The sequence below is a fragment of the Homo sapiens genome, chromosome 20 (genome assembly GCF_000001405.40).
Source record: "Homo sapiens chromosome 20, GRCh38.p14 Primary Assembly".
NCBI lineage: Eukaryota > Metazoa > Chordata > Mammalia > Primates > Hominidae > Homo > Homo sapiens.
In genome coordinates, this window is record NC_000020.11 from 32,352,925 (window position 1) to 32,365,489 (window position 12,565).

Genomic DNA, 12,565 nt, shown 5'->3' on the forward strand with positions numbered 1-12,565 from the left:
AGGTCCTGAAATCTATACTTGAAAACCTTAAAGCATCAGAGAGCTGCCATTTTCCGTGATTTCGGTAAAAAGCAGCTCAGGTTATCCTTCCTTTGAGGCCATTCTAGGGGGTCCCACAAATCTTTTTAAGCAAAATAAAAATATTAATAATTATTAAAGTTGTTTTCACATTGTTGAGGTATATTGCATTAAGAATGGAATTTGTTTTTCCATCATAAAAGTAGCACATACTAATTCTAGGTTTTGAAAATACAAATATAAAAAAGAAAAAATATTACCCATAGCTACTACCTTAATCTAAATGTTCTATGTTTTGCGGTTGAAATGAAAAAGAATTTTTTTCAATTAAAAAGTGTAATATGGGCCGGGCGTGGTGGCTCATGCCTATAATCCCAGCACTTTGGGAGGCTGAGGCAGGCAGATCACTTGAAGTCTGGAGTTTGAGACCAGCCTGGCCAAACATGGAGAAACCCTGTCTCTACTAAAAATACAGAAATTAACCTGGTGTTGTGGCACATGCCTGTTATCCCACCAACTGAGGTAGGAAGATTGCTTGAACCTGGGAGGCAGAGGTTGCTATAAGCCAAGATCATGCCACTGCACTCCACCCTGGATGACAGAGCAAGACTTTATCTCAAAAACAAAAGGTAATATGTCCATGGCTCACAACTGTAATGCCAGCACTTTGGGAGGCCGAGGCAGGAGGATCACTTGAGGTTAGGAGTTCGAGACTATCCTGGGCAACATAGCGAGACCCTGTCTCTACAAAAAATTTAAAAAAAAAATTAGCTCGGGGTGGTGGGATGTGTCTGTGGCCCTACCTACTCCTAGCTACTCAGGAGTCTGAGGTGGGAGGATGGCTTAAGCCCAGGAGGTCAAGACTGCGGTGAGCCATGATCATGCTACTGCACTCCAGCCTGGGTGACAGAGTGAGACCTTGTCTCAAAAAAAAAAGACAATCAAAAGTTGCCATAGTCTGATGGTTACCCAGAGGTAACCATTATTGACATTTTGTTGCCAGGCACAGTGGCTCATGCCTGCAATCCCAGCACTTTGGGAGGCTGAGGTGGGAGAATTACTTGAGCCCAGGAGGTCAAGGCTACAATAAGCTGAGATTGCACCATTGCACTCCAGTGTAGGCAACAGAGAGACCCTGTCTCAAACAAACGAAAAAGACATTTTGGTAATTTAAACACGTTTTCCTCCCTACTGGGAGACTGAACAGCAGGATTTAAACGATGGTGAATGGAAGGTGAGCTATGAGTTAGGGCTGCCCATCACATGGGCAGATTCTGTGACTTAATGACAATAATAAGGTCATGAAGTCTCCTATACAGGGTCTTGCTCTGTCACCCAAGCTGGAGTGCAATGGCGCAACCATGGCTCACTGCAGCCTCAAACTCTTGGGCTCAAATGATCCTCCTGCCTCAGCCTCCTGAGTAGCTGGGACTATAGGCACATGCTGCCACGCCCAGCTGAAGTCATGCTCTCTATCCATGAGCATCTTTATAACTTGCATAGATATATTTGGGTGAAATCCTGTCTTGGTCTTTCCCGATTCTCCCTGAGCAGGTTCCAAACATTGTTTAGGGCTCAAAGGGAAATTAGTCTTCAGAGTTTCTCCAGTAAAGTAATTACGGAGATCGGGTCATTTATTCAACAGATTGGGTGCCTACCATGTGCCAAGACTGTGCCAGGCACTGGGGATATGATGATGAAACCAAAGATGCTAGCATGAACACAATCACTAAACCAAAGTCACACAAATAAATTAAATGTGGGAGGGACAAGGAGAGCTATACATGTACTGATCATCTGCTATGCTGGAAGTTTATTTAGCAAATGTAATCTTATTTAATCATCTGGACCCAAGGGAGGTAATCTGACCTCTCTGAATCTCAGCTTCATGTGAAAACGGGGATAATATTATTGAGAGAGAACATTTGTTACAGGGGCAAACCCTGTTCCAAGGTTTCTTTCACTCAAAGTATAAACAATGAGGCACTTTTTACACTTTAGACACTAAAACTTTTTGGAGGCAAAGAGGGCTGGTATTTAGTGAGTATCTGCTATGTGCTAGGCACTTTACAGAGATCTCATTTAATCTCAGTTCCATTCTTTGAATTTGCTATGTACCCTGCTGTCCAAATGACGGCACTGAGTCAGTGAGAGGTTTCATAACTTGCCCAAGGCCACAGAACTGGATGGAGAAAGACTGCAGAGATTCAAACCCAGGCCTGCTGACATGCAGAGCCAATGAGAATATATTATCTTGCAGTGCAGTTTATGGGATATATGTGTCCCTTTGGGAATTCCTGGGTGTCTGCTGGTGGCCTGTTAACTTGGTTCTTGAATATGCACTTTGCTTATAACTGTGCAGTTTGAAAAGTGACTCATCCCCAAACTAGGCAGGGTTGAGTGTCTGTCCTGTTTATCTTCCACATGCCACCTGCACTAACTTCTGAAGATAATCTATAATAAAAGCACTGTGATTAAAAAACAGAAAAACACACACCAAAAATGTATAGGTTTGTCTGTTGGTGCTTCTGACAAGAAAATAAACTCATGAATCTCATTAACTTTAAAAAAATCACATCTACTTAAGGTTTAATGACTAAAGCCAACTTTCTAACATATCTGTACCGTTCTCTGAACATACTGTTTTCACACTTAACTACGATGTTGTCACTTGTTTCTGTCTGATTCTGCAAGGGCAGAGACCTTGAAATATTCAAATCTGGATTCCCCCATGGTTTGACCCAGCTGAAGTCAGGCAGTGTTCGCTGAAAGAAATAAAGGTGTTTCCATAATGCCTGTATTAGCTTTCTTTTGGGGCTGTAAGAAGTTACCACAGATTTAGTGTCATAAAACAATATTCATTTCTGTTTCACGCTTCTTGTGGGCCCGACGTCTGGATTCCATGGCTCAGCTGATTCTCTGCTTCCAGTCTCACGAGGCTGAAATCAAGGTGTCTATATTCCTTTCTAGAGAGTTGGGGAGGGGGTATAATCTGTTCCCAAGTTCATTCAGCTTGTCAGAATTCAGCTCTGTGAGGTTGTAGGACTGAAGTCCCCATTTCCTTGCTGGCTCTTGGCAGGACTTCCTCTGAGCTTTTGGAGGCTGCCTGGATTCCCTGGCTTGTGGCCACTTTCAAAGCCAGTAACAGTGGGTTGAATTCCTCTCATACTTTGAATTTAATTCCTCTGCCTCATCTCTCCAAAACATCTCTTTTGCCTCCCTTTTGTGCTTTTAAGGGTTCATGTGATTACACTGGGCTCACCCATATAATACGGAATCATCTAATTTTAAGGGCTTTATTTCCATTGGCAAAATATCTTTTGCCAAAGAATGCTGGCTGGTAATCCCAGCACTTTGGGAGGCCGAGATGGGTGGATCACCTGAGGTCAGGAGTTCAAGACCAGCCTGGCCAACATGGAGAAACCCAGTCACTACTAAAGATACAAAAATTAGCTGGGCATGGTAGCGCATGCCTGTAATCTCAGCTACTTGGGAGGCTGAGGCAGGAGGATCGCATGAACCCAGGAGGCGGAGGTTGCAGTTAGCCAAGATCACGCCACTGCACTCCAGCCTGGGTAACACAGCGAGACTCTGTCTCAAAAAATAAATAAATAAATAAATAAAAAAGCAACATATTCACAGGTTCCAGGGACTAGGACTTGGACAGTTTTGGGCAAGCGGGGAAGACATTATTCTGTCTACCACAGTACCTGTATTAAACATGTAAATTTCAGTTATTCCCTGTAGGTCAGAGGGCAGTAAAGCTACTTCAGAAGACATCGGAAAGAAGCCAAATGACTTGCCAAAGAGTACTGTATCAGCCGTAGATTGAAAAAAAAGAAGTTAAAAATCCTTTGTAAAAAATCAAGGCAAACAGTTTTTTGAGGGACAGTAGTTCCTCCTTTCTCTCAGGGTAAAGCTAGAGAGATTTTTAAGAGGTGTCTTATTCTAACTTGCAGTCTTTTCCCTTTGTAGGATTTTGCTTACCGGACTCACAAGTTTTCTGTGACCAGTATTAGAAGCAGAAAACACTGAACCCCTTGGCGTTAGAGTTTGGGCTACACCATAATGGTCTCCTATCAATACTGGCTCTCGCTACGTGTTAACATTAGGGAGTGGAGAGTGTGTTTCCTCACCCAGGGAAACCGTTTAAATGTGGCCACTGATCCTGCCTTCATAGTTTTTAAGAGCTGGCATCAATCCAACTCCGGACGGACTCTAGAAATGTTTCTGGACAACGACTGAACCTATAGTTACAGAAAACCTATGTGCTGGGCGCTCTGAATTTCATTTCAGGTTCTAAAACTAAGGCTCAGAGAGGCTAAGTATATTGCCTATTGTTTCTCAGCTGGTAATAACAGCTACCATTTATTAAACATTTGCTCTATGCCAGGCGCCATATCATACGGACCTGATAATGTCAAGATCTCCCTTCACATCCTCTTCCAATCTGTCAAGAATTGTATGTTAATTTTAATTCCAATAATGCCATGAAATACAAGACAAATGCAGATCAGAAAACTGAGGCTCAGAGAGGTTGAGTGGACAGCCAGGGAGTGACTCAGCCAAGATTCCAGTCTAGGTCCGCTGGACTCCAGGGCCTGAATTCTCTCCAGGGTACTGCCTCTAAAAACGCCCTCAGGTGCATTCTGGTCAGTATGGCCCCAGAGTCCAAGTTCTTTACACGACCCGTCAACATATCACCAAGTTCCTAAGAACGCTCTAGGCTGCTGGTGCAGGCTCTGCAAATACACAGCGGCCTGAAAGCACAGGAAGAAATGAAGAACCGTCTAAGTCCATCAGCCGTGGAATAACCGTTTTACTGGTATGAGGGTCTTTTTGTCTCATTATTATGTGGCAGTGAGTCATTTAGAGGTGACCAAAAGGGAAAGTCCTGCCTCTCGTCCCCTACGAGAAGTGTAGGTAAGAACCGTTTAGGCGAGGAGAAGCACGAAGTGGGAACTGCGAGTCGAGCTCCCCATCCTCACTCCCCACCCGCACCCGCCAGGAGGTCCTGAAGCAAAAAGCACCGAAGGGGTTAAGGGTGGCCGGGGGAGCCCAGCCACCGCCCCTTCCCAGCATCGCCTCCCAGAATCCCGCAGGCCCCCAGCCAGTTCTCGCACCTCGCGAGACTCCACCCAGCCCCTTCCCCGAACAGCGACCCGTCCCCGTTCCTAGCTGAGGTCGGTGCTAGGCGGAGGACGCGAGAGGGAGAGCGGAAGGGGGCCGCCGGGCACGCCGGGAAGTGTGGTCCACGCGCTTCACGCGGCCATATTCTTCCGGAGCGGGGGAGGCCAGAGAGGCCGTTGGGACTACGACTCCCAGGCGCCCTTTCGGTTTGTTTTTGTTCAAAAAAAAAAAACCCCACACTCCCCCTCCTCACTCTTCACACACACTCACACACACCCACGGCAGACACGCACGCACCCGGGCGCCGAAGGGAAAGCCGCGTCTCGCCCTCCCGCCCCGCCGTCGGTCCTGTCTCAGTCCCTCAGCAGAGCGGGAAAGCGGAGGCCGGAGCCGTGACCTCTGACCCCGTGGTTATGCGGAGCCGCCGCATTCCTTAGCGATCGCGGGGCAGCCGCCGCTGCCGCCGTGGGCGACTGACGCAGCGCGGGCGCGTGGAGCCGCCGCCGCCCCTCCCCCACCGCCGCTCTCGCGCCAGCCGGTCCCCGCGTGCCCGCCCCTTCTCCCCGGCCGCACCCGAGACCTCGCGCGCCGCCGCTGCCACGCGCCCCCCCCACCGCCGCCGCCGCCCCAGCCCCGCGCCACCGCCCCAGCCCGCCCAGCCCGGAGGTCCCGCGTGGAGCTGCCGCCGCCGCCGGGGAGAAGGATGAAGGACAAACAGAAGAAGAAGAAGGAGCGCACGTGGGCCGAGGCCGCGCGCCTGGTGAGGCGGACAGCCGAGGGGGGCTCCGTGGGGCCCGGGGTGGGGGGGGCTCGCCGCGCACCCCCCCACTGGGGGGGGAGGGGCAAGGCCCTGCCCACCGCGGGAGGGGGCGGGGCCATCTTCCTTTAAGAACGGGACAGCCCCGCAAGGCGAGGGGTGGGGAGCGCTCCGCCGGGATGGGATGTGGCGCCTTTTTCCGCTCGCCCTCGCGCCCCCCCCGCCCCGCGCAGCTAAATTCCGGCGGAGGGGCGAGCTGGCAGGCCGGCTCCTCCCACTCTGGGCAGCGGGGTCCCGCGTCCCCTCCCCCACTATTTGGCAGCGTCTGGGGGTCTGGGGCAGCTTCGTTCATTCACCCGGGGGAGTTGGGTTTCCGGGAAGGGTCGGAAGCTCCTCCCTCGCTTCCTGGTGGGTAATGGGGTGGTGCCTTTGACTCCGGGGGTGGAAAAGCGACCCCACATTCAAGGACGCCAATGGCATGTTGAGCTTTCCCAATCTAAACCAGGTGCGTGGAGGGAAGCAAGTGCTTACTCCCAGCTTGAACCCTGAGCAGCGGTTCTCTAACTTTAGTGTCCTGTGGGCGACACCTGGGAGGCGGTTAGGAACGCTACTCCTAGGGCCCTTCGTAAGACCTGCTGAGCCTCAGGGTCTGGGATAGAGCCTGGGAATCTGCGCTTTCACCAGCTTCCCAGGTGATTCAAACGCAGTGGCTCACGGACCCCACTTTGAGAAACGCAGACTGGGCTGTTTGCCTTCAGAAGCTGGACTGGAAATTGGTATTTTGAGGAGAACTGAATCCACTTTGCAAAGAATGTATGTTGGACAAAGACAAAGTATCTCTGTTGGGAGACGTTGTTCACTGAGGATTTAGCAAGGGAGAGCGTAACTTGAGTGTTTGAAGCCGTCTCGTTCAACCGATGGGGGTTGTGAATTTTGTGTTCAGAGCGTCAGAGGACTTGCAGGTGAAATAGCTTCCTTTTGGATTACTCCCACAAAGCTCAGACACTTTGAGACATATTCGGGTAATTATCTGCTGATACCAGTAGTAACAGGTTATACTAAGATGTCAGTTCCTAAGATCTGTCACACAGCGAGGTTGTGGTGCGGATAGCATAAGTGTCTCTTGACACTGTAGTTTATATGTAATGGTTGTAATTCAGTTTTAATGATGAGTGAAGCTCAGACTTAATTTTCTCTCTTATTTTGAAGTGAGTTTTCTGCTTCAAAGGTGTTGTGCAAAAAAAAAAAAAATAGACTGTATTGGGGGGGTTGACACAAACCTGAAGTACACCTTTTTCTTTCTCGAAGTCTGTAAAAGTTACAGATTTATAAAAACTGAAGGAATTTGGGCTACAGAATTTTCATTGGTGCTTGCTATCCTCTTCCCTAGTCATTTGTTGCCCAGGGAACAAAAATAGCAATTGTTTGTATGCTGAAGTTTTGTGCTTCAGTTTATTTTGGCCTGGCATGTGAAGTTTGAAGATTTTGAGGTTCCGAAATATTTTTTTTCTGATTGAGTCAAAATTGGAAGCTTGGGCTAGTTTTCAGGATCTTGTAGAAATTTCAGGATTTCTCTAACGGTTCTGCACCTGGAAACAAATATAGGCCTGATGGGGAGTGGGAGAGAGCTCTCGTTCTCCTCCTCGACAATGAGTTTTGTGTGTTCATTGACATTCTCCTTGGCGTTCCTGTTATGCGGGTGTTTATGACCCTGGGCACCCAAGGAAATTTGCTTGCCAGAGTTTTACTTGTTAGAGGTAGGTGAAAGTACTTTTAAGTCTTGTGTTATTTATGTCTTGACAGAATTATGAAATCTGTTTGTCTCAAAGTTCTGTTGGCTCTTACTAGTTGACTTTAGGAATTTGGGGTCCACTGTTAAGTCTCTTTAGATTCTCGAATTTACCGTGGTCTGAACTTCAACATCGAGGTTGCTATTTCTGTTTTATCATTGACTCAACTTCAAGCCAGGTTATCAGGGTAAGTTATTCCTCTTTTTCTTCTAAGGCTCTTCATTAAAAATAGTAATATGAATAGGAATTACTTTGTTTGTTTGTTTTTCGTTTGTTTGCCACCACACCCGGCTAATTTTTTATTTTTAGTAAAGATGGGGTTTTTCCATGCTGGTCAGGCTGGTCTCGAACTCGTGACCTTAGGTTATCCGCCCACCTTGGCCTCCCAAAGTGCTGGGATTACAGGCGTGAGCCACCGCGCCCAGCCTATGAGTAGGAATTACTTTGTGGTGCTGTTATACATGTGAAAAAGGATTTGCGAGACTTTGGGAGTCTGAGGTGGAATAATCACTTGAGGCTAGGAATTCGAGATGAGCCTGGGCAACATAGACCCGGTCTCTACAACAACAGCAACAAAATGAGCTGGGCATGGTGGTACACACCTGTGGTCCTAGCTACTCAGGAGGCTGAGGATAGCTTAGGCCGAGGAGTTGGAGGCTGCAGTGCCCAATGATTGATTGTACCACTGCACTCCAGCCTGGGTGATAGAGGGAGACCCTGACTCTAAAAAAATAATGAGGCTGGGCGCTGTGGCTCACGCCTGTAATCCCAGCACTTTGGGACGCCGAGGTGGGTGGATCACAGGGTCAGGAGTTCTAGACCAGCTTGGCCAACAAGGTAAAACCCAGTCTCTACTAAAAATACAAAAATTAGCCGGGTGTGGTGGTGCACGCCTGTAATCCCAGCTACTGAGGGGGCTGAGACAGGAGAATCACTTGAACTTGGGAGGTGGAGGTTGCAGAGAGCCAAGGCCATGCCACTGTCCAGCCTGGGTGACAGAGCAAGACTCGTCTCAAAAAAAAAAAAAAAAGAAAAAAAGAAAAAGGACTTGTTGAGAATGTGATATGCAATTTGAGTATCTTGTGTGTGTTTTTTGTTTTAGAATTTTCCATTTCTTTGAATGGGACTGGATGGTAGGTGAGGGGGAACTTTTTAAGAGTCCCAGGCCGGGCACGGTGGCTCACGCCTGTAATCCCAGCTCTTTGGGAGGCCGAGGCAGACGGATCACCTGAGGCCAGAAGTTCGAGACCAGCCTGGCCAACATGGTGAAACCCCGTCTCTACTAAAAATACAAAAATTAGCCAGGCATGGTGATGGTGCATGCCTGTAACCTCAGCTACTCGGGAGGCTGAGGCAGGAGAATCACTTGAACTCGGGAGGTGGAGGTTGCAGTGAACCCAGATCACACCACTGCACTCCAGCGGCGACAGTGAGACTCTGTCTCAAAAACAAAACAAAAGAAAAAACCAGTCCTCTTAATGTTTAAAAAAAGTTGCTGTAACACTGTACTGGAGAATTTGTGAGAGCGTACACTGGACTGAGAGAAACTTGACTAGGAGGGAACGTAGGACAGTTGATTAGAACACCTGAACACTTCTCTTTGGGCAGGTGAATTTGGAGTGCTTGCAATGGCAATTGTATGCACTTCCATGGGAACGCTTTCAGATTGCTCCTGACCCCACTCAGATTGGTGACTAGAGTGTTACTGGGAATCCTTTTAAAAATTGTTTTTGTAGGCTGTGCGCGGTGGCTCACGCCTGTAATCCCAGCACTTTGGGAGGCCGAGGCGGGCGGATCACGAGGTCAGGAGATCGAGACCATCCTGGCTAACACGGTGAAACCCCATCTCTACTAAAAATACAAAAAATTAGCCAGGCGTGGTGGCGAGTGCCTGTAGTCCCAGCTACTCGGGAGGCTGAGGCCGGAGAATGGCGTGAACGCGGGAGGCGGAGCTTGCAGTGAGCCGAGATCGAGCTACTGCACTCCATCCAGCCTGGGCGACAGAGCAAGACTCTGTCTCAAAAACAAACAAACAAAACAACAACAACAAAAAAACCTTTCGTAGAGGAAAGAAGATTCTTAAGAATTTCAGTATAGTGTACCCCAGGAGATTGATTTTTGCAGATGTTAATTATGCTGTTGAAAAATAGTCTTTCTTTCACACATTTTGTAGTATTGTCTTTTCTAGGTGTAAGAAGTAGACCTTATGTGGTTGAGTGGATATAAATCCTCCAACTTGTTATAAACAGTTTGTTTGGGAGAAATAGCCAAGGGGATTTCCCTTTAAATCGAGGACGCTAAATGGATTCTCCCTGGCTTCGAGAAACTCTTTGTTGTATGCTTTATCTTTTACTTTGATTCATGACTGACCAGTTCTTACATCAAACATTTTTTTCCCCTTTGAAGTAAGAGAAGAGATACTTAAAAAAAAAAATGTAGTCTAGAAAGAGACTAGGAATAGAACACTGCTGACTTGTTCTTATACCAAGAGCTGGAGGCATAAACAGTTTTAATAAAAAAGAATACTTTGTATCTTTTGATGTAACTTCCCTTTAGAGATTCTGTTTCCCCTGTCTTAAATTCTCAGGCTATTTCTGATTGCTGTTTAAATAATTGGTAGTTACTATTTGAGTCATGCTTCTTAAAAAAAAAAGATATAAAAATTCGCCAGCTCAGCTTTCATTTAATTAGTATCAAAGAAATGTTATCTGTGGCAGTGAACATTAGTAGCTTGTTCCAGGGTTTATTGTAGGTTTGTTCAAGTCAGTACTGCCCATCTTGGCACTTAGGTTCTTGGAATACAGAGGTGGATAAGGTTTGCCCCTCAGGGCTTATGGTCTTCTGGGGATGAAGAAGGTCCAGACGCAGGAACAGAATTTTACTACAGTCATGATACGTGTTATCATAGTTGTATAAATCATAAACAGATATCCCAGTTGCTGCCTCTTGTCTAGTCATAGTTTCTCCTTTCACTCTCAACTGTCCTGGTTTGGAAGATAATTGTATGTGTTATGAAACAATGGGAACATTGAAAAGAGACATTTACCTCTGCCTGGCAGAGATCAGGGAAGGCTTCCTGGAGGAAGGTGCTTTCTGAGCTGAATCTTGAAGGGTAACTAGGAGTTAGGCCAATCACAGAGGGCATAAGCAGGAGCTGGTGACAACACATAGCAGGAGAGAAAGAGTCAGAGTGGGTGAGAGGGAGTGTGTGTATTTGCAACGTGTGGGAATTAGGTATATCTACAAATTATTGGAACATAAAGTTTGTAGAGTGTCACTGTGGATGGGTAGAGAGGCAGAGACCAGATTGTGAGGGTTCCATATGCCAGGCCAGTGAGCACCTACTCTGTGCCAGACATTGTAGGCATTACTTACATTGTCTCTAATCTGTCCAACAACTCGAGAGGAAGACATCAGTATCCTTCAAAAGAGAACCTAGGTTCAGGTTGGGTTGTAATTGCCCCAGTTTAGAATGTAAAAATTTGAATCTAACTCTAGATCCTGTTCTTTACCGGTGGGCCAGTGGACTTTGGAAGCTTCAGCTTTTGCAGTATGTGATTAAGGAGCTGTTGAAGGATTTTATTTGCTTTCTATTATTATTATTACTATTTTTTGAGACAGGGTCTCACTCTGTCACCCTGGCTGAAGTGCAGTGGTGCCATCACAGCTCACTGCAGCTTCCACTTCCTGGGCTCAGATGATTCTCCCACCTCAGCCTCCTGTGTAGCTGGGATTACGGGCATGAGCCACCATGCCCATCTAGTTTTTTGTATTTTTTTGTAGAGACAGGGTTTCACCATGTCGCCCAGGCTGGTTTTGAACTCCTAGGCTCAAGCAATCTGCCCACCTTGGCCTCCCAAAGTGCTGGGATTACAGGTGTGACCCACTTTACCCAGCCATATATATTTTTTAAATTCTTTAAAGAGATGAGGTTTCACTGTGTTACCCAGGCTGGAGTGCAGTGGCTATACACAGGCACGATCATAGTGCACTAGAGCCTGGAGCTCCTGAGCGCAGCAAGTGACCCTCCTGCCTCAGTCTCAGCTGAGACTATAGGTGTGCACCACCGTGCCTGGCCTGTTGAAGGATTTTAGAGCTGAAAGTGATGAGGGCAGGTTTGCTTTGCTGGGTTGACCTCAGTCTATAACATGTAAGTTCTACCAGAGCAGGGATTTGGTCTTGTTTACTGTGAATCCCTAGAATTGTGTCTGGCACAAGGTACGTGTTCCATGTGTTTGTTGAATGAAGGATGACAACAGAGTCAGAATGGATTTGAGGAAAGCAGGACTGGATGGAGGGATAAATATTAAGAGGCTGTTGTGTTGGGTCAGGTAAGAGACTGGTTTTGGGACTTGGCGGACAGATGAGCGAGAAAGATGACACCTGCGTTTCTGAATTAGGTGATTATACAGGCTGTCAATCAAGGTAGGGAATACAGGAAGAAGAGTGGGTCTGGAGAAGAGGTGAATTAGAGTTGCCAATTAGATGAATTAAGAGTAGAGCTGAATTAGAGTAGATAATGAAGGGGTATAGTCAGTACACAACTGAATATTTGAATCTGAAATTTGGGGGAGAAGTCAGAGCTAGAGGTAGAGATTAGGTAGTTATCAGAATTTAGGTAGTAGCTGAAACTGAGATGATAATGTTACCCATGGAGAATGGAAAATCTGAAAAGAGAAGCAAAGAATAGGACCATGGGAAATAGGGGTTTTATTTTAGTACCTTCTCCAAACCTTGACTTTGGTGCTGAGGTCTTATGTTCTTCCATAGAGAGTACCTTCCGCAGCAGACCTATCAGACGAGATCGGGCACATTCAGGGTGGTATGGCTGTAGACAGCAGCATCGTATCAGACTTCTTTATGTTTTGCT

At 47.0% G+C, this 12,565-nt stretch overlaps 1 protein-coding gene across 14 annotated transcripts in view, besides 3 other annotated features; it reads left to right on the plus strand.

Annotated features, from left to right (window-relative positions):
- Positions 2,639-2,708: a silencer, noted in NCBI's record as "silent region_12781". NCBI's record gives its function as "represses an Ori minimal core promoter by ATAC-STARR-seq in GM12878 lymphoblastoid cells {active_cell/tissue: GM12878}" and the evidence as "EXISTENCE:reporter gene assay evidence [ECO:0000049][PMID:35858748]".
- ASXL1 (ASXL transcriptional regulator 1) overlaps positions 5,407-12,565 on the plus strand; it is an 80,989-nt gene continuing 73,830 nt past the window's right edge. For 3 of the 14 annotated variants that reach the window (NM_015338.6, XM_006723727.4, XM_047439945.1), the window contains exon 1: positions 5,407-5,908. In NM_015338.6, coding sequence (NP_056153.2) covers positions 5,852-5,908 — 57 coding nt within the window. In that variant the 5' untranslated portion in view covers positions 5,407-5,851. Of the gene's footprint in view, positions 5,909-6,061; positions 6,928-7,785; positions 7,883-12,565 lie in introns of those variants that run through there. The other 11 variants (XM_006723728.4, NM_001363734.1, XM_047439940.1 and 8 more) reach the window with 9 other exon arrangements.
- Positions 5,657-5,706: a silencer, noted in NCBI's record as "silent region_12782". NCBI's record gives its function as "represses an Ori minimal core promoter by ATAC-STARR-seq in GM12878 lymphoblastoid cells {active_cell/tissue: GM12878}" and the evidence as "EXISTENCE:reporter gene assay evidence [ECO:0000049][PMID:35858748]".
- Positions 5,947-6,106: a silencer, noted in NCBI's record as "silent region_12783". NCBI's record gives its function as "represses an Ori minimal core promoter by ATAC-STARR-seq in GM12878 lymphoblastoid cells {active_cell/tissue: GM12878}" and the evidence as "EXISTENCE:reporter gene assay evidence [ECO:0000049][PMID:35858748]".